General features: G+C 39.1%; 1 protein-coding gene across 11 annotated transcripts in view; it reads right to left on the reverse strand.

Annotated features, from left to right (window-relative positions):
• SOS2 (SOS Ras/Rho guanine nucleotide exchange factor 2) overlaps positions 1-22224 on the reverse strand; it is a 114753-nt gene that overhangs the window by 73927 nt on the left and 18602 nt on the right. For 6 of the 11 annotated variants that reach the window (XM_047431723.1, XM_047431716.1, XM_047431718.1 and 3 more), the window contains 4 exons: positions 13228-13353; positions 9897-10028; positions 8635-8799; positions 5036-5089 (listed from right to left, as the gene is read on the reverse strand). In XM_047431723.1, the coding sequence (XP_047287679.1) occupies positions 5036-5089; positions 8635-8799; positions 9897-10028; positions 13228-13260 (384 nt within the window). In that variant the 5' untranslated portion in view covers positions 13261-13353. The remainder of the gene's footprint in view (positions 1-5035; positions 5090-8634; positions 8800-9896; positions 10029-13227; positions 13354-22224) is intronic. The other 5 variants (NM_001411020.1, NM_006939.4, XM_047431719.1 and 2 more) reach the window with 1 other exon arrangement.

Raw genomic sequence — 22224 nt, forward strand, 5'->3', positions numbered from 1 at the left:
TTAAAACTGCTCTCACTATTGATCTAGTGTCAAATCTAATGGTGTGTTTTAGTCTTCCTACTTGTTTTCTCTAGTTTTTGACACAGCTGACCATTCTCTCATTCTTAAAACTCTTAAAACTCTCAGGGCGAGGCATGGTGGCTCATGCTTACAATCTCAGCACTTTGGGAGGCCGAGGCAGGAGGATCACTTGAGGCCAGGCATTCAAGACCAGCCTGGGCAATATAGCAAGATTCTATCTCTACCAAAAGTAAAAAAAAATAATAACCAGGTATGCTGGTAGACACCTGCGGTCCTAACTACTCTGAAGGCTGAGGTGGGAGAATCACTTGAGCCCAGGAATTCGAAGCTGCAGTGAGCTAATATTGTACCACCACATTCTAGCCTGAGTGACAGAATGAGATCCTATCTCTAAATAAGAAAAAACACATATAAACCCCCCAGCTCCAAACAATTTTTCTCTTCTTGGCTTCTGATACACCATTCTGTCAGTGGGGCCTCCTCTATGACTTACCTTCTCTACCACCCACTCCAGAGTTCCATTCTTAAAACTCTTTTGGTCACATAATACCAAAGTTCCTGAATTTAAATGCTACAGGGGTCAGGCAAGTAACATTATAATATATAAGAAACAGTGGGGATTATGGTAAACCGGAAGGTACATGCACCTAAAGAGGAAGTGTGCTGCTCAGTGCCAGCTGTTTTCTGTTAGGCATTCTGATTTTCTTTTTTCATGAAAAGTCTGGGATTTACATTTTTATGTAAAATTTTTAGATCTGTAAATATAAATGGATGGCAAATAATTCAAAAATTTAAAAAACAAACCTAGAGACCCTATTCACTAGAAGGTCACCAGTCTGAAACTGGGAGGATTGCTTGAGCCCAGGAGTTCAAGACCAGCCTGGGCAACAAAGAGAGACCCAGTTTCTACAAAAAAATTTTAAACACAGCCAGGCATGGTGGTTCAAGCCTGTGGTCCCAGCTACAAAGGAAGCTAAGGCATGAGGATCACTTGAGCTCTGGAGGTTGAGGCTGCAGTGAGCCGTGTTCACACCACCGTACTCCGGCTTAGGTGAGTCCTTGTCACAAAAAAAAAAAAAAAAAAAAAAAAAAAAAAAAAGGAGCGAGCAAGCTAGCTCTTGAAACAGATGGAGTAATACTACCATGAAAGAGAAAATATATTCATACCCCACTCCTGTTAGCTTCAGATTTTTCTGGCCAGGCATGGGTGGCTCACGCCTATAATCCCAGAACTTTAGAGGCCAAGGTGGATGGATCACCTGAGGTCAGGAGTTCAAGACCAGCCTGCCCAACATGGCGAAACCCTGTCTCTACTAAAAGTACAAAAAATTAGCCAGGCATGGTAGCACGCACCTGTAATCCCAGCTACTCAGGAGGCTGATGTGGGAGAATCGCTTGAACACGGGAGGCAGAGGTTGCACTGGGCAGAGATTGCGCCACTACACTCCAGCCTGGGCGAAAGAGCAAGACCTTGTCTTTAAAAAAAAACAAAAACAAAAACAAAGGCCAGGCGCAGTAGCTCATGCCTGTAATCCTAGCACTTTGGGAGGCCAAGGCAGGCAGATCACTTGAGGTCAGGAGTTCGAGACCAGCCTGGCCAACACGGCAAAACCCTGTCTTTACTAAAAATACAAAAATTAGCCAGGCGTGGTGGCAAGTGCCTGTAATCCCAGCTACTCAGAAGGCTGAGGCAGGAGAATGGATTGAACCCAGGAGGCAGAGGTTGCAGTGAGCCAAGATCACGCCATTATACTCCAGCCTGGTTGAGAGAGTGAGAGTCTGTCTCAGAAGGAAAAAAAAAAGTATAATTCAATAGGTTAAAAACAAAAGAAAGAAAATACAGAACTCAACTGCTAGTATATCTAGATCTGGTGAACTAAGCTTCCTCAGAGCAGCTTTGTGCCCTCTTATTCTCTCACCTTTTTTTTGGTTTTTTTTGTCCACTGTTGCCCAATGGCACAATAATAGCTCACTATAGCCTCAATGTCCTAGGCTCAAACAATCCTCCCACCTCAGCCTTCCAAGTAGCTGGGATGCACCACCACACCCAGCTAATATTTTTTTTATTTTTAGTAGAGATGAGGTCTTGCTATATTCCCCAGGGTATCTCACCTTTCTTTCTTTGTTTCTTTTTTTAAATTTTTTGTAGAGATGATGTCTTGCTATGCTACCCAGGCTGGTCTCAAACTCCTGGGCTCCATCTATCCTCCTGCCTCAACCTCCAAAAGTGCTGGGATTACAAGCGTGAACCACTGTGCCTGGCCTTTACCTTTCCTAAACATCAATTTCCTTCTTAAGCATTTATGTTCAGTTTTTCCAGTTTTAAATACTATTTTCATTAGTAGTAACTTATATACTAGAAGTTAAATTCTATGGTTCTTTCCTATGATCATCTAATTCTCAGCAATCTTTGATATGCTAGAATACCTCATATAGCCACATGTTATTTTTATTTTTAACTGTAAAGAAATAGGGTTGATTCTCAAGTTCTCTGTCTGGCAAATTAAAGATATCCCTAGAAACCATATATTCAAATAATTTATTAAACAAATGGTCTGTGAGCTCTTGAACTAGTGATCTCTAGATATCAGTTTGGATATACTAAGATCATACCACATCATACAATCTCATTACTTAGGGTTACATAACTAGACCCACATATCAAGTCATCGGGATTTTTTTTTTTTTTGAGACATAGTTTCACTTTGTTGCCCAGGCTGGAGTTAAGTGGTACTCGGCTCACTGCAACCTCCGCCTCCCAGGTTCAAGCAATTCTTGTGCCTCAGCCTCCTGAGTAGCTGGGATTATAGGCAATCGCCACCACGTCTGGACGATTTTTTGTATTTTAGTAGAGATGGGGTTTCACCATGTTGCCCAGGCTGGTCTCAAACTCCTGAGCTCAGACAATCTGCCCGTCTTGGCCTCCCAAAGTGCTAGGATTACAGGTGTGAGCCACCACGCCCGGCCAAGTCATCTGGATTTTAGCTAAGCATATGACAGTCTCTTGTGACAAATAGGGGATCATGACAGGAATGTCTGAAACAAGGACCAGCAAACTACAGGCCAAATCCAGCCTGCAGCCTGTTTTTGTAAATAAAGTTTTGCTGGAACATAGCCCATGCTCATTCATTTATGGCTGCTTTCATGCTACAAGAGCAGAGAAGAGTAGATGCAAGAAAGACGTATGGCCCACAAAGCCTAAAATATTTATCCCCTGGCCCTTTATAGGTAAAGTTTGTTGACCCATGAATTAAATAAAATGTGAAATAATAGCTAACTAAAAGGCAGGAATGAAGAAAAGTGGTAACTTTTAACCTAGAAGAATGCCACTAATAACATATGTTGGAAATCTCATTTCTTATATAATCCCTTTCAATTTTTTTTTTTTTTTTTTTTTTTTTTTAAGATGGAGTATTGGCTGGGCGCGGGGGCTTACACCTGTAATCCCAGCATTTTGGGAGGCTGAGGTGGATAGATCACCTGAGGTCAGGAGTTTGAGACCCACCTGTCCAACATGGTAAAATCCCATCTCCACTAAAAATACAAAAATATTAGCCAGGCATGGTGGCAGGCACCTGTTATCCCAGCTACTTGAGAGGCTGAGGCAGGAGAATTGCTTGAAACTGGGAGGCAGAGGTTGCAGTGAGCCAAGATCACGCCACTGCGCTCCATACTGGGTGACAGAGCAAGACTCTGTCTCAACAATAAAAAATAAATAAATTAAATAAAATAATATGGAGTCTCGCTCTGTCACCCAGGCCGGAGTGCAGTGGCGTGATCTCGGCTCACTGCAACCTCCGCCTCTCAGATTCAAAGGCACCTGGCCTTTTCAACATTTTTACTAAATAATTTTAATTCAAGGTTTATCAGACTTGTACACTTTACAAAAACCTGGGTAGAGTATCTAAAATGCTGAATGACAGAATTCAATTTTTAAAATATCTACATATGCTGGAACATAGCCTCAATAACAGTATGAAGTTTTCTAGGGATAAATTCACGTTCATTCTTACAACAATAACAAAAAATCAACAAGCACAAGTTGGAGAAATCAAAGACCTAACATAATGGTACTTCATGTGGAACAGTCCTCGGGAGTTTAGAAATCTGCAGACTCAACAAGTACACAGAGTAACGTGGTGCCAAAATATTAATGCTGAAATTATTAAAGAATAGCATATAGAATGAAGGATACGTACATGCATTTCAATATACTCTGTTGGTCAGACCAAATCTGGACTATTGTCTTCACAGTTTTAGAAATCAGTCTAAAAGCAATATAACAAGGGGATCTGAAAATCCTGCCACATGAAGATTTTTTTAAACTCTCAAAAGGTGAAGATTTAGGACATGGAAAAATGCTTCAAATAAAGGAATGACTTATTAAAAAAAAATAGTTTATGGCCTGGTGCAGTGGCCAACACCTGTAATCCCAGCATCTTGGGAGGTTGAGGCAAGAAAATCACTAGAAGCCAGGAATTCCAGACCAGCCTGGGCAACATAGCAAGACCCCATTCCTACAAGAATTTAGAAATTAGCTGGGCATGGTGGCAGGCACCTATAGCTCTAGCTACTTGTGAGGCTGAGGCAGGAGGATTGCCTGAGCCCAGGGGTTTGAAGCTGCAGTGAGCCTGGGTGACAGAGGGAGACTCAAGCTCTCAAAAACAAAGAAGCTGGGTGTGGTGGCTCAAGCCTGTAATCCCAGCACTTTGGAAGGCCGAGGCAGGCAGATCACAAGGTCAGGAGTTCGAGACCAGCCTGGCCAACATAGTGAAACCCCGTCTACTAAAAACACAAAAATCAGCCAGGCATGGTGGTGGGCACTTGTAGTTCCAGCTACCTGGGAGGCTGAGGCAGGAGAATTGCTTGAACCTGGGAGGCGGAGGTTGCAGTGAGCCGAGATCACACCACTGCACTCCAACCTGGGCGACAGAGTGAGACTCCGTCTCAAAAAAGAAAAAAAACAAAAACAAAAAACAAACAACAAAGAAAATGCATATGTGTTTTCACTTACATGTGGAATCTGGAACAAACTCATAGAGGCAGAGTAGAATGTGGTTACCAGAGGCTGAAGGGAAGGGGGACAAAACCTCAATTAGGAGGAATTGGGTCTTTTTTGTAAGATTTATTGCACAGTATGGTGAATATAGTAAATAATAATGTATTTACATTTCAAAATTGCAAAAAGAGTAAATTTTTTTGTCATTTCAATTTTTAAAAGAAATTTTTGTGGGTACATAGTAGGTGTATATATGTATGGGGTAAATGCAGGCATATAATGCACACATCAGAATAAAATGGAGTCTCCATCACCTCAAGCATTTATCCTTTTTTTGTGTTACAAACAATCCAATTAAACTCTTTTAATTGTTGTAAAATATACAACAAATTATCGTTGACTGTAGTCACCCTGTTGTGCTATCAAATACTAGATCTCATTCATTCTAACAATATTTTTGTACCCATTAACCATCCCCATTTCCCCCACTCCAGCTACCTTTCCTAGCCTTGTAACCATCATTCTACTAGCTAAGAGTAAATTTCAAATGTTCTCACCACAAAAAATAAGTATTTGAGGTAATAAATGTTAATCAGCTTGATTTAATTATTCCACATTTTCTTTGTAATCATAACATTACCTTGTACTCCATAAATATATACAACTATAATTTGTCAATTTATAATTAAATAAATTAATAAATAGGAAGGGGAAAAGAAAATAAAGTGCTCAAATAATGACAGGAACAGAAAAACCAAGCTAGGGCTCCTAATAACCAAATCTGGAACAACCGGAACTTTTTTTTGTTTGAGACAGTGTCTCACTCTGTCACCTAGGCTGGTGTGCAGTGGCGTGATCTCGATTCCATGTAGCCTCAACCTCCCGAGCTCCAGTGATTCTCCCACCTCAGCCTCCCAAATAGCTGGGACTATAGTCACAAGCACACGCCCGGATAATTTTTTTTATTTGTAGAGACATGTTGCCCAGGCTGGTCTCCAACTCCTGAGCTCAAGCGATCCACCTGTCTCAGCCTCCCAAAGTGCTGGGATTACAGGCATGAGCCACGGTGCCTGGCCTACAACATCTAAATAATGAAGTAACAGATTATGACCCATTGAATAAAATAACAATTCATTAGTCCATATTAAATTTGAGTGTGATAAAGAATAAGATACACAGTTTCAAAGTACTCCACAAAATATTCATTTATTAATTACAAAAGGGAAAACAGTAACTTCACAGATGAAAAGCCTGGCAGATAACTCCTTAATCAAGTCATCGAAGTCAACATCACCACCACTAATGAGACACAATGAAATCATGTGCCTGTGTGCCATCTGAGAAAATGCAATGAGAAGAACACAGCACAATTTCTATGATATTCCTGCTAAAGACCATTACCTGATTCTAACCAAGAGAAAACAACAGAGAAAACCGAAATTGAGGGACATTCTACACAGTAACTGACCTGTAACTCTCAAAAGCGTCCAGGTTATAGAAGTTAAGGGAGGAGAGTTGATTCTAACATCTCTCTCCCCAACCACAGGATTACACTGCAGTGGTCCCTGTGCCTATTGCCATGGCCTCTCTTGAATAAAGTCAGCTTTACCACCTTTTTTTTTTTTTTTTTTTGAAACAGTCTTGCTTTGTCACCCAGGCTGCAATGCAGTGGTGCAATCTCAACTCAGTGCAAACTCTACCTCCTGGGTTCAAATGATTCTCGTGCCTCAGCCTCCCAAGCAGCTAGGATTACAGGCATATGCCACCATGCCCAGCTACTTTTTTTGTATTTTTAGTAGAGACGGGGTTTTGCCATGTTGACTAGGCTGGTTTGAACTCCTGACCTTAAGTGACCTGCCCGCCTCAGCCTCCCAAAGTGCTGGGATTACGGGCGTGATCCACCACCTGGCCTGCTTTGCCATCTTTTTTTTTTTTTTTTTGAAGTTAAGGGAGGAATGAGGAATTATTCCAGACTGAAGACGATAAAAATACATGACACATAAACAATATATGATTCTGGAATGAATGATTTTGGTAAAAAGATCATTAGGATATGTGACAAAACTTGAATGATGTTTGAAAGTTAGATGGTATAATGTATCAAATGTATTCATTTCCTGGATTTTGACTGTCAGTCATACTGTGGTAATGTAGCAGAATGTTCTTGTTTATAGGACATACTATATTGGCAACTTACTCTCATATGGTTCAAGTGGCAAGGGCTTACTTTTTGTTGTACTTCCAACTTTTCTAAAAGTCTAAGATATTTTCAAAGTAAAAAAAAAAAAAAAGTAGCCATAATTTTGTAAGTCAAAATAGAGATAACAAGGAATTGCTACCATGATGTAAGTGAAAAGTCATTTCTGAAATTATGGCATCGTACAATCGGTCTCAGTCATTATAACTGCACATCAGAATTACCTGGAATGCTTTCAAAGAACACTGAGGTTTGGAGATCCAATCCAGGCCAATTAAATCTCTGGGGGTGATATGCAGGCATCAGCATTCTTTAAAAAGCTTTCTATTAATTCTGATGTGCAGTCAAGGCTGAGAACCACCAGCATGTGCTAGGTCCTGAAGGTTGTTCACCCTGAGAGAGTTTCATTTAGGCATTTTCTCTGTAGTCTTTCTGGCCTCACCCGTGCTAAAGTTCATTACTTTCTCCACTGTACCTTGGACTTACTAGTATGATAGTTTTAATCATATTGTTCTGTAATTATCTGTTTATAATATTTTTATTTTGCAGTAAAATAAATACCTTCTAACACAAAGATTGCTATGTTATTCAGCGTTATAGCTTCAGTGGGTGCAGTGGCTCATGCCTATAATCCCAACACTTTGGGAGGCTGAGGCAAGCACTTGAGCTCAGGAGTTCAAGACCAGCCTGGGCAACATGGTGAAACCCTATCTCTCCAAAAAATATAAAAACAGCTGGACGTGGTGATGCACGCCTGTGGTCCTAGCTACTCGAGAGGCTGAGATAGGAGGATCGCTTGAGCCAGGGAGGCAAAGTTTGCAGTGAGCTGAGATTGTGCCACTGCACTCCAGCCTGGGTGACAAAGTGAGACCTTGTCTCAAATAACAGGAAGAAGAATAAGAAGGTAAGTAAAGGAATATAGAAGAATATGGAAGACTCAATTTCTTCCCACAAGTAGCTTACAGCCAGGAAAGAAGACAGATATAAAAACAAAAAAATGATCAGAGGGGAGTAACTTCAACATTGCAGTCTAATTTTCTCTCCCCTGTGCCTCACTAAGCTATGCTGTGAAACCAAAGTAGGGTCTTCAAAATTACTTACACTTAAAAGTACCTGAGTAGAACTCTATATATTCTCTTTCTAAAAATATAAAACTGAAACTACTTAAATTGTTTTGAGGCCTTGGATGTTTTTTTTCTTGTAAGTAAAAGATTCTTGACCAAAAAAAGAGATCCCCATCCTGCCATATGCTTAAAAACCTGGAAATATCACGGTTACTCTGTAAAGCCAGGATTTTTCTCTCTTCCAGTACTAGCAATTATAAAGATTACTTATCTAATAATGTACACAAAAAGATTGAGGCAGAAATTAGTATAGTTGCTATTCAAGTTAAATTTAAATACCTTGTAACACTTACCTTATCCGCACACATTGACACTTTAATGTCCTGCTGAGATATTTCATAATGCCGGATATTAAAAACATAATTACCAGCCAATTTTAAAATATCAGCTGAGATATACTCTAGTACAGCCACAATATATAGGGATACATGGTAGTCCACTTTGTACCCTAATACTTCCTGTGAAAAGAATAAATAATTTAATTGCAAAATGTAGCACTGTCAAGTATTACACACTTAAAAAATTCCTATTTAACATCCTTGCTTATAAAAAATTTTCTATTAACTACATGTCTAAATGTATGGGTACCACGGGATATAAAATGAATCTTTGGTCCCTGTATTAGGGGATTTTTTTTCTTTTAAGAGACATCTAATCTAACAACTCTGCCTTTTATCAAACAACAACAGTTGATCTTGATATAGAAATCTTGGGTTGGACTCCACTAAAAGCCTCTTAATACATTAACCAAAATTCATCTGACAAATATCAAAATATCTGCTATCTTCAAGGACTCTGCTTTAAAACCAGTATCCCCTAATTACAGTAGTTTCTACTGAGGGGAGGTATGGAAGTGTCTGTGTGTGTGAGGCAGGCGGGGCGGGGGGGGCTTGAATTTGCTACAAAACTCTTAAAATCCATATACACCAAACATATTTTGCCCTATGCGTTAATATGCAATAGCCAAACTAGGTCCTAGTCCACTTTTCCAGTATATAAAAAATAATCTGTGATAATATAAATTAATTTTAAAGACAGTTCTGAACTCACAGTAGCTTCTGAAATTATACACTTTCTTAATCAACAAATGACTGAGAATCATGGCCTACTACATAGGAATTAGTCAGAGTAGCAGTCATTGGAAGATGCCATAAAGATGCCACAATGGGCCAGGCCTGATGGCTCATGACTCTTATCCTAGCACTTTGGGAGGCCAAGTAGGTGGATCACTTGAGCCCAGGAGTTTGAGACCAGCCTGGGCAACACAGCAAGACCCTGTCTCTACTTAAAAAAAAAAAAGATGCCACAAAATAATAGTAATGCATTATCACTATTAATAATTTTTAATATTGTTTGAAAAGCAATCCAATTTCACCAGAGCATAATCATTTTGTATACATATTAATATATGCGATGTGTATGTACAAGCATACATATGGAAGTGCACATATACACACTAACACAGACCATGCTACATTAATGCTTTATAAATATAGAAATAAAATATTACTTGTTATAAAGAACACCCCCCAACTAATGTTTAATCTTTTGTTACCTTCAACGAAGGATGGATTTTGTCCACAGGCAGTAAAAGAGGATTTCTTCGTTTTCGTTTTTCTATAGCAGATTGTGCATCAGCAATGGCCCATTTATCAATTGGGTGAGGAAAGGTCTTCTGAACTCGCTCCTGCTCAATCACAGCAGAACCATTGTAGTATTAATAAAAGTGTTCATAAATAGGAAATTCATACAAAATTCAACTTGATCTCTATTCTTAATGCTAGCAGATAATAGTGACACAATACATTCTGATTCCTGTAATAAATAAATTTTTTGGCTTAAAAAAAAGGTCAGGCTGGGCGCGGTGGCTCACGTCTGTAATCCCAACACTTTGGGAGGCTGAGGCAGGTGGATCACTTGAGCTCAGGAGTTTAGACCAGCCAGGCAACACGGTGAAACCCCATCTCTATTAAAAATACAAAAATTAGCCCGGCATGGTGGTGGTGCATGCCTATAGTCCCAGCTACTTCAGAAGCTGAGGTGGGAGGATTGCTTGAACCCAGGAGGCGGAGGTTGCAGCAAGCCGAGATCATGCCACTGCACTCCAGCCTGGGTGAGAGGGAGACCCCCAACAGAAAAAAAAAAAAAAAAAAAGGTCAACAGGACTATCAAAATTTTTCCACATAATTTTCATGGATAAAACAAAAAGGTAAACTTCAAAAAGAAAGCTTTAAACATAATTAAGATGAACCGGAAAAAGGAAAAAACAATACATAGGATATATAAGAAAGATTAAAGCGAACATGAAATAGTGTATTAGTGATTTTAAGTTAGGTTTCTAGAGTTAAAACTATTTACCTAGCAGAGCAGAAATTGTTCATTCATTTTTAATCATTAGTATACAGCCACTCTCCTTTCGTTAATCTTAGAGCTTCAAATAAAAGAGGTCATGTATCTCTTGGAAGATGAAATGGGTGAGAGAGCTCAGAATGGCTTATGAAAATACGTACCTTGACAAAAACAATCTTAGCCTTTGTGTTCATCTTGCTTTTTTGTTTTTGGAGACAGGGTCTCACTCTTGTCACTCTGTCTGTGTCACTTCTGGCTGAAGTGCAAGTGCAGTGGCGGGATCTCAGCTCACTGCAACCTCCACTTCCCAGACTCCAATGATCCTCCCACCTCAGCATCCCGAGTAGCTGGGACTACAAGCACATACCCCTACTCTTGGCTAATTTTTCTATTTTTTGTAGAGACAGAGTTTTGCCATGTTGCCCAGGCTAGTCTCAAATTCCTGGGCTCAAGTGATTGTGTCCACCTCAACTTCCCAAAGTGCTGGGATTACAAGTGTGAGCCACTGCACCTAGGCAGTTCATCTAATTTTAATTTAATCAGTGATTCATTGGCATGAAAAACAAGAACTACTGAGATCTGAATTAAACTCTAATTTAGCAGGGTTTCCTATATTTATAGTTATAGTCTCAGATTTTAGCAAATTTAGCTATTGAAAAATATGCTTTCAGTCTGTTTATTTCATGTTCAAAACTAGTAGCAGAGGCTGGGCATGGTGGCCCATGCCTCTAAGTCTCAGCACTTTGGGAGACTGAGGTGGGAGGATCCCTTGAGGCCAGGAGTATGAAACCAGCATGCGCAATGTAGGGAGACCCTGTCTCTACAAAAAAATTTAAAAATTAGCCAGGCATGGTTGCATGCACTTGTAGTCCCAGCTACTTGGAAGGCTGAGGCAGGAGAACTGCTTGATCCCAGGAGTTCAAGGCTACAGTGAGCTATGATCCTGTCACTACACCCTAGTCTGGGTGATAAAGCAAGACCCTGTCTCTTAAAACAAAACACAACAAAACCCAAACAATTGGCAGCAGAGAACAGGGGAAAAAAATGCTTTAATTCCAAGAATCCTGGAAAATCTTAATAGCTCAATCACTACAAATTAAGATTTTCCTTTATACTGAAAGTTGTTGTAGCTGGGCATGGTGGCTAACACCTGTATCCCAGCACTTTGGAAGGCTGAGGAGGGAGGATCACTGAAGGCCAGGAGTTCAAGACCAGCCTGGGCAACACGGCAAGGCCCAGTCTTTACAAAAATAAAAATAAAAATTAGCTGGGCGCAGTGACACGTGCCTGTAGTCCCAGCTACTCGGGAGGCTGAGGCTGGAGGACAACTTGGGCCCAGGAGTTCAAGGCTACAGTGAGCTATGATCATGCCACTTCACAAAAAGAAAGAAAGAAAGTTGTTGCTTATAGAAACAAATTTCAAAAAAAAAGGAAATGTAAACAGTATAGTATAAAAGTAATTTTTGAAAATATAAAAATTAGCCTGGGGTGCACGCCTGTAGTCCCAGCTGCTTGGGAGGCTGAGGCAGGAGAATAGCTTGAACCTGGGTAGCTGAGGTTGCAGTGAGCCAAGATCACACCACTGTACCCCAGCCCGGGCGACAGAGTGAGACTCCATCTCAAAAAATAAAAATGAAAATAATTTTTGATAGCTGTACTATTAGACATTTGTTTTTAGCAGGAGAAAATAATACCAATTTTATTAATATTAATTTTATGTGCACAGGGTGCTTTTATACAAAAGAAGTAAAACTCTCCCTAACAGATATTGCTAAAAATCCAAAAATACTCCCATGTAACCAAGGCAAAACAATTATTTTAGTACTAATTTAAACAGTTTTTCAGATATATATATATATATACACACACACATACATATACATTTTTTTAAATCACTGAGCAAATGTCCTCAAAATTTACACTAATCTTTTATTGAGGTAATATTTATATGCAGTAAAATACACAGATCTTAAAATGTACAATTTGTTGAGTTTTAGAAATGCTTATGTCTGTGTAACCATCATCTCAACTGACATAGAGAACATTTTTTTTTTGTTTTTTTTTTTTGAGACGGTCTCCCGCCTCAGCCAAAGTACTGGGATTACAGGTGTGAGCCACCGCACCTGGCCTTATTATTCAATATAAAGTACTATGTTTTGAGTCCTCTCTAAAAAATATGTGCCTAAACCCAGGTTATGAAGATATTTTCCAGAATTTTCTTCTAGAAACCTTGTAGTTTAGCTGTTATGTCTAAGGCCATGATCCATTTTGAATTAATTTTTGTCTACGGCATGAGATAGGTTTCAAGGTTTTTTCCCCTCATAAATGTACCCAGTTGTTCTAAGTTTTTTTTTTTCTGAAAAACTTGCCTTTCCTCAATGAACTGCCTTGACATTTTTGTCAAAAACAAACTGACCATATATATCATACATAATTTCAGTGGTTTTAGTTTTCACAATAAATTAGAATGATATAGATACAAAAATTAATTCATACAGTGGTTGAGTGACTTTTTGAAATGACAAAATAATTTTTACCTCTACATCTTGAACAGTCCTTGGCTGGGCCATGCATAATTTATTAAGCAGCTGAAAAATCAGCTCTTCAATATAATAGAGAGACTCTTCATTAGCTGAGAGAGTGGGATGCACTTGTTCCTGAACCTTTAAAAAAAAGTTATCAGTTAAAGTAATGGCAAAATAATATAAATTGAACAAAAGTCAAAGAGAATCTTATATATAATATTTTACTATAATGGTTACTCAAAACAGACATAAAACACAAAATGAAGAAAAAAACTATTTGTTGGTCTCTGTAAACTTTTCTTAACCCACAGAGCAGTGGTTCTTAAGCATTTTTGGACCCTTTGAAAAATCTATGGAAAGCCATTGAACCCTCTCTTCCCTATCACCAAAAAGCATATACACATAAACTATTCTATACAATTTCAGAGGAACTGTGGATACCCTGAAGTCAATAAACCTACTTGAAGTCTACGCAGGTCATGAATCCCAGTAATAAAGGTAACATCTGAAAAACCATACTCCTTTACAAATTATAGAGGTGCTCTGTGAAATAGGTGCTACTCAGCTTTCACAATAGCACTGTCACCACCAGCTATGCTAAGCACCCCACCTTTTTTTCTTTTTTTTTCTTTCTTTTTTTTTTTAAGCAGCTGCATCCTTCTAGGGATGAGCCGTTTTTGTTTCTAAATTTTCTGTCCTAAATAATAATCCAGTCTGACTGGATATAAGAAATATGGTAAATAATAGTACCTAGCATACAGTAGGTGTCCTATAAATATTTGTTGAAAGAAATTTAAAAAAGTATTGCTTTCCTTTCTTTTCTTTTTTTGAGACAGGGTCTCACTCTGTCACCCAGGCTCACTGCAGACCTGGGGTCAAGCAACCCTCCCACCTCAGTCTCCCAAGTAGCTGGCACTACAGGTGTGTGCCACCATGACCTGGCTAATTTTTAAAACTTTTTGTAGAGATGAAGTCTCACCATGTTGCCCAGGCTGATCTTGAACTCCTGGGCTCAAGTGATCCTCCCACCTCAGCTTCCCAAAGTGCTGAGATTATAGCATGAGCCACTGCACCCAGCCTGCTTTAACTTTTTATGCCATGAAGTCAGAAGGATATCAGAAGCACTAACACAAAAATAGATAACTTGAATAGCCTCATAGTTAAGCAAAAGTAATTTAAAACCCTCCCCACAAAAAACACAGCATTGAAGTTAACCATTTTATTTGAAGTCTCAAAATTTACCATAGAATTCTTCCTAACATCACATCACGTGCCACCACTAAACCAACCATTGCCAAACAATGATTAGTCTACGATTTAGACTTTGCCATTTCCTAAGAGATCCATGCCTGAACAAAATGAGAGTTTTAAAAAATTAGCATAGGCACGGTGGCTAACACCTGTAATCCCAGCACTTTGGGAGGCCGAGGTGGGTGGATCACCTGAGGTCAGAAGTTTGAGACCAGCCTGGCCAACATGGTGAAACTAAAAATACAAAATTAGCTGGGTGTGGTGGCACGTGTCTGTAATCCCAGCTACTAAGGAGGCTGAGGCAGGAGGATTGCTTGAACCTGGGAGGCAGAGGTTGCAGTGAGCAGAGATCGCACCACTGCACTCCAGCCTGGGCAACTCCATCTCAAAAAAAAAAAAAAATAGCATAAAATTGTGCATTATAGCCTCATATTTTGTAAGTCTATAGGATTTATAGTAAAAATCCCTTCTTTCATTTCTAATATTAGTTATTTGTGTATTCGTTCTTTTCTTGATCAGCATCTCAGAGGTTTATCAATGTTATTAATCTTTTAAAGAACCAACTTTTGGCTTTTATGATCCTATTTTATGTTTGTTTTATATTTCATTTATTTTTGCTTTATCTTCATTATTTCTTCTGCTTTTTATGTTCTTTTGCCAACTTCTTGAGATGGATACTTTGCTCATTTTTGTCAACCTTTCTTTTCTAATATGTATGTTTTCTCTAAAACTACTTTTGTAAAAACACACATATTTTCATATGGAATATTTTTGTAATCATCCAGTTCAAAATACAGTCATCCTTCAGTGTCTGTGGGAAATTAGTTCCAGGACACCTGTGGATACCCAAATCCATGGATGCCCAAGTCCTTTATATATAATGGTGTAACACTGTATACAACCTACACACATCCTCCCATATACTTTAAATCATCTATAGGTTACTTGTAACACCTAATACAATGTAAATGCTATGTAATAGTGGTTATATTGTATTGTTTAGGAAATAATGACAAGAGAAAAGTCTGTATGTGTTCAGTACAAATGCAACCATCCATTATTTTCCCAAATACTGTTGATCTGAGGTTGGCTGAATCTATGGATTAAGAACCCAAGGATAAGAATGGTGGACTATAGTTTCTAATTTCCATTATGGTTTCTTCTTTCACCTTAAGAATCTAGAAGCAAATTTCTTTAATTTTTAAACATGAGATTTTTTAAAAGGTTTTTAAAATTGATTTCTATAATAATCACGTCGTCAGAAAACATACTTTCTTTTTCATTTTTATTTAGTTATTTAATTTTTTTGAGACAGAGTCTCATTCTGCCACCCACGTTGGAATGCAGTAGTGCAATCATGGCTCACTGTAGCCTTGACCTCAAGCTGGTCTTGAACTTGTGAGCTCAAGCTATCCACTCACCTCTGCCTCCCAAAATGCTGGGATTACAGGCATGAGCCACCATGCCTGGCCAGAAAACATATTTTCTATGATTTCAATCTTTTGAAATTTGTTGAGACTTGCATTATAGCCCATTATATGGGTCTACCTGGCTTCATTGACAAACTCATCAAACATAAAGGAAGCAATACAACAATCTTAAGCGAACATTTAGAAAATTTTTTTTAAAAAGATACTCTCCAATTTATTTTGGGACTAGACTTTATATAAAAACTCAAAAAGAAAGATGAAAATTATAGGCCATTTTTAGCTCAGCACAGTGGTTCATGCCTGTAATCCCAGCACTTTGGGAGGCCAAGGTCAGAGGATCGCTTGAGGCCAGGAATTCCAGACCAGCCTGGGCAACATGGCAAGACCTCATCTCTCCAAAATAAAAAAATTAGCTGGGCATGGTGGCATATGCCTGTAGTCCCAGCTACTCAGAAGGCTAAAGCAAAAGGATTACTTGAGCCCAGAAGGTCAAGGCTACAGTGAGACATGATGGTGCCACTGCGCTCCAGCCTGGGGGAATGAGCAAGACCTCATCTCTAAAAGAAAACAAAATTATAGGCCATTTTCACTTATGAATCCAGAAAAAAAAAAAAGCCTAAGTAAAGTGTCACCTAACTAAATTCCATAATGTATACAAATAAGATTATACAATCACAGCCAGGCATGGTGGCTCGTAATCCCAGCACTTTGGGAGGCTGGAAGTGGGTGGATCATCTGAGGTCGGGAGTTCGAGACCAGACTGGACAACCTGGTGAAACCCCGTCTCTACTAAAAATAAAAAAATCAGCTAGGTGTGGTGGCACAGGCTTGTAATCTTAGCTACTTGGGTGGCTAAGGCAGGAGAACTGCTTGAACCCGGGAGACAGACGCTGCCGTGAGCTGAGATCACTGCAATCCAGCCTGGATGACTGAGCGAGACTCCATCTCAAAAAAAAAAAAAAGAAAAGAAAAAAAGAAAAATAATATGACCATCCCAATATATATGTAAAAAAGCCATTTGAAAAATATTCAACATTCATTCATGATAAAATCTCTTTGTGGGCCCGGCACGGAGGCTCACACCTATAATCCCAGCACTTTAGGAGGCCGAGGCGGGTGGATCACTTGAGGTCAGGAGTTCAAGGCCAGCCTGGCCAACATGGTGAAATCCCATCTCTACTAAAAATACAAAAAATTAGCCACGCATGGTAGAAGGCGCGTGTAGTCCCAGATACTTGGGAGGCTGAGGCAGGAGAATCGCTTGAACCCGGGAGGCGGAGGTTGCAGTGAGCCGAGATAACGTGCTGTTGCACTCCAGCCTGGGTGAGAGTGAGACTCTGTCTCAAACAAACAAATAAAAAATCTCTTTGTGAACTTCTTTCATTTGATAAAGGATGTATACTAAAAAGCTACAATAGGCTGGGTGCGGTGGCTCAGACCTGTAATCCCAGCACTTTGGGAGGCTGAGACGGGGGGATCACAAGGTCAGAGTTTGAGACCACCCTGGCCAATACGGTGAAACCCCGCCTCTACTAAAAATACAAAAATTAGCCGGTGTGGTGGCAGGTGCCTGTAGTCCCAGCTACTCGGGAGGCTGAGGCAGAAGAATCGCTTGAACTGGGAAGCAGAGGTTGCAGTGAGCTGAGATCATGCCACCGCACTCCAGCCTGAGCGACAGAGCAAGACTCCATCTCAAAGAAAAAACAAAACAAAACAAAAAAAGCTACAATAAAATCATAGTTAATAGTAAGACAAGACACTGACAGCTTTCCTTTGGAGATCAAGGAAAAGGATATTTTCTATTATCATTTCTATTCCACATTATATTTGGAGGTCCTGGCTATTGCAGTAAACCAAGAAAAAGAAAATTTCAGAATTGGTAAAGAAGAAACAAATTTGCAGATCATCTGACTGCCCATTGTGATGGTTAATTTTGGGGTGCCCATATAACTGGTTACACACTATTTCTGGGTATGTCTGTCAGGGTATCTCTGGAGGAGATTAACATTTGAGTTGGTAGACTGAGAAAAGCAGACTACCCTCCCCAGTGTGGCCTTATCCACTTGACTAAAGGCCTGAATAGAACAAAAGGCTGAGAAAGAATTCTTTCTCTCTGCCTGACTGTATTTGAGCTGGGACACCGGTCTTCTGCCTTCAGACTGATACTCAGACTGGAATTTATATCATCAGCTCTTCTGGTTCTCAGGCCTTCAGACTAGGACTAGAATTATACCATTGGCTTTTCTGGGTCTGCAGCTTGACAAATGCAGATCTTGGACTTCTGGGCCACCATAACCTCATGAGCCTATTTCCTTAAATGTCGTGTGTGTGTGTGTGTGTGTGTGTGTGTGTGTGTGTGTGTGTGTGTGTCTCCTATTGGTTCTGCTTCTCTGAAGAATCCATGCACCCATGGAGGACAAAATAATGTACCCATGCAGGACAAAAATATTGTACACATAAATTACCTGAACTCATAAAAAATAAACTTTTCTTTCTATGTACCAGCAACAAAGCTAGCAAACAAAATTTTTAGGCCAGGTGCGGTGGCTCACTCCTGTAATCCCAGCACTTTGGGAAGCTGAGGCGGGAGGATCGCTCGAGCCCAGGAGTTCAAGACCAGTCTGGGCAACACGGTGAAACACCACTTCTACAAAAAATTAGCCAGATGTGGTGGCACGCAACTGTAGTCCCAGCTACACGGGAGGCTGATGTGGGAGGATCACCTGAACCCGGAGGTCGAGGCTGCAGTGAGCCATGATTATGCCACTGCACTCCAGCTTGGGTGAGAGTGAGACCTTGTCTCAAAAAAAAAAAAATTAAATAGCATTTACAGTAGAATTTAAAATACCGTGTACCTTGAGTACCTGATAAGGTACACATGACTCCTAGGGAGAAAACTAGACTTTAAGAAAAATTAAAGAGCTAAATAAATGAAAGATGATACCATGTTGGTGAACTGTCAGACTTAATATTGTATACAACTGAATTCTCTCAAAATTGATACATGCAGTTATAAAATCACAATCAAATCCAAGCAGGTTGTTTTGCTAAAAATGCCAAGATAATTTCAACATGTAAATAAAAGTGCAAAAAGCTAAGAAAATCAGTCATATATTCTTTTTTTAAAATTACTAACAACAAAGTCATATGTCTGTAAGGAAGTACAAGGATTTGCTCCAATGGTTGTCAGGATTTATTACAAAGCTATAGTAATGAAGAATGTGACAATGGCATAAGGATAGAGAAAGAAATCAATGGGACATAACAGAGTCCACAAACAAGTCCACATATATATAGACGCTTATTTACACAGATGGCACTGTAGAGTATGAGGTGTGGCAGAGAGTTGCAGGGAGGCAGGGAAGTGTATGAATAGTGTTGAACCACTGCAGAAAAAGAAAATCAACTCCTACTTCAACCTTTACCCAAAAATCAATCCTAGCTGCATGTTAGGCCTAATAAATAAATATACCCAATAAAGCTCTGACAGTGTAAAACTAGATAATATCTTCATGATTTCAGGATTGAAAAAGATTTCTTATATAGGACACAAAAAATTACTAGCTATGAAGGAAAGAACTGATAAACTTTATATTAAACTTTAAAATTTAGGTTTCTCAAAAGACATCTTTAAGAAAGTAAAAAGGCAAGTTACAGAGTTGGAGAAGATATATGTAGTACATGTAACAAAAGGCTCATATCTAGAATATATAGAGAACTCCTAAAAATTCAGTAAGAAAAAAAATGATAAAAATCCCAAGAGAAAAAATGGGCAAAAAACCCTTAAACTAGCACTTCACAAAAGAATAAATTCAAATAGCCTATATATATATTAAAAAGTGCTCTAGCTCTTAAGTAATCAGAAAAATGTAAATTAAACGACCATGAAAACTATCCACTCACCAGGCAGCAAAACTAAAAATTCTGATAATATCAAATGTTGGTAACTATGTGGAGCAATGGGAACGATCACACACTGCTACTGGAATGTAAAATGTTTCAATCACTTTCAAAAACTTTGCCATTAAGTACTAAAGTTCAAGATATGTATAGTCTATGACTGAGCAATTCCACTATAGGATATATATATATATATTCAGGATAGATTTACATATATTTCTTTAGAGCTATACAGTCCAATATAATAGACGCTAGCCTCATGTGGGTACTGAACACCTGAAATGTAGCTCCACTGAGTTGAAATGGGATGTTGGTGTAAAATACAAACCAGATTCAAGGATTCAGTATTAAAATAAGAAGTCAAATTCTCAATTTTTATGACACATGCTGAAATGATTAGATTGGGTTAAAAATATGTTATTAAAATCAACTTCATCTGTTTCTTCTTACTTTTCAACTGTGGCTATGATAATTTTCGTTTTTAACTTTTATTTTAGATTAAGGGGGTATATGTGCAGATTTTGTTACCTAGGTATATTGTGTCATGCTGAGGTTTGGGGTACAAATGATCCCATCACCCAGGTACTGAGCATAGTACTACCTCCTCTATTAGTCCCCGGTGTCTGTTGTTAACATCTTTATGTCCATGGGTACCCCATGTTTAGCTCTCACCCGTAAATGAGAACATGCAGCATTTGTTTTTTTTTTGTTCCTGCATTAATTCACTCAGGAGGGAAAATTTTATTTATTTTTTAATTAATTATTATTATTATTATTATTTAGATTTTTGAGACAGGTTCTCGCTGTGTTGCCCAGGCTGGCCTTGAACTCCTGGGCTCAAGCAATCCTCCTGCCTTGTCCTCCCAAAGTGCTGGGATTACAGGCATGAGCCACCATGCCCAGCCTAGGAGGGAAAATTTTAAATTACATGTGTGGCTCACATTGTATCTCTTCTAGACAGCAATGCTCTAGAGAAATGTTTACCAGAAGACATACGCTAGAAGGCTCATAAATAACATTATTAATAATACCTTCCAAAACTAGAAAAGAATTCAAATATTCATCCAGAATGGGACAGATAAATTGTGGCTTATTAATACAATGGAATACACACAGTCAAAAAAATGCAGTAATAATGACAGCTACATAAAATGTGGATGCACCCTGAAAAAATGTTGGCAGAAAGAAGCCAGATAAAAAGAATACATACAATGGGATTCCATTCACAAAGTCAGACAAAATTAAATACAAAAATAAAAAATAAACAAATTCAGAACAAATTAAACAATGGTGTTAAGGGATACACGCTGAGATGGAAAAACTATTAAGAAAATCAAAACAGGCCAGGCGCGGTGGCTCGCGCCTATAATCCCAGCACTTTGGGAGGCCAAGGCAGGCGGATCACAAGGTCAAGAGATCGAGACCATCCTGGCCAACACGGTGAAACCCCGTCTCTACTAAAAATACAAAAATTAACTGGTCATGGTGGTGCACACCTGTAGTCCCAGCTACTCGGGAGGCTGAGGCAGGAGAATCGCTTGAACCCAGGAGGCGGAGGTTGCAGTGAGCAAAGATCATGCCACTGCACTCCAGCCTGGCAACATAGCGAGACTCCGTCTCAAAAAGAAAGAAAATCAAAACAGTGAATACCACAAAAACGGTTACCTTTTGGAGAGTTATCCTGAGAAAAGTGCTGACAATGTTCTGTCTTCTTACCTGAGTGTTAAATAGGTGTTCCTTAAACTGTATATTTATCCTTTACACATTTTCTGATTATATGTTACACTTCACCATAAATGAGGTTTTCAAAAGTTTGAGAATCATCTAGCAAACAGAGGAAATTGAGGGGGGAAATTATCAATAAAATAAGTCTAAAGGGCTTTTCTAGTGCCCATGTCACTGAACAAAATTTTAATGTCAGGACCCTGGAGACAAAGAGAATATCCTACAAGACTGGGAGGACAGGGAAGTGAGGAGGAGCAGATTATATATGAGAAGCAGACATTAGCTTCAGATTTCAACAGTAATACTAGAAGCTAGATGGTAATGATGTTCAGCCTGGAATCCAAGATACCAGCAATATCAAACGCCATGCTAACGTGACATTCTTAGATAGAATAAGGTCCAAAACTTTATCTCTCACGTAGTCTTTCTCATTAACCTTCTGTCATTTGTACTACACTAAAACAAGGGTATGAATCAAGAAAGAAAAATATGGAATAAAGAAAATAAAGGAATCAATAGAGAAGAAAGGTCAAAGGAATGCCCAGGATAAAATGAAAGGAAATTATAGGATGAGAGCTGTAAAACAGGAATAAAGGTGACCAGTCCACACTGGTGCAGGTCAGAAGGCTCTGGGAGAGACTGTCTCAAGAAAACAAACTTGACAGAGTATGCAATGGGATGAAAATCTTGATAGGATATTTAG

The sequence above is a fragment of the Homo sapiens genome, chromosome 14 (assembly GCF_000001405.40).
Source record: "Homo sapiens chromosome 14, GRCh38.p14 Primary Assembly".
Classification (NCBI taxonomy): Eukaryota; Metazoa; Chordata; class Mammalia; order Primates; family Hominidae; genus Homo; species Homo sapiens.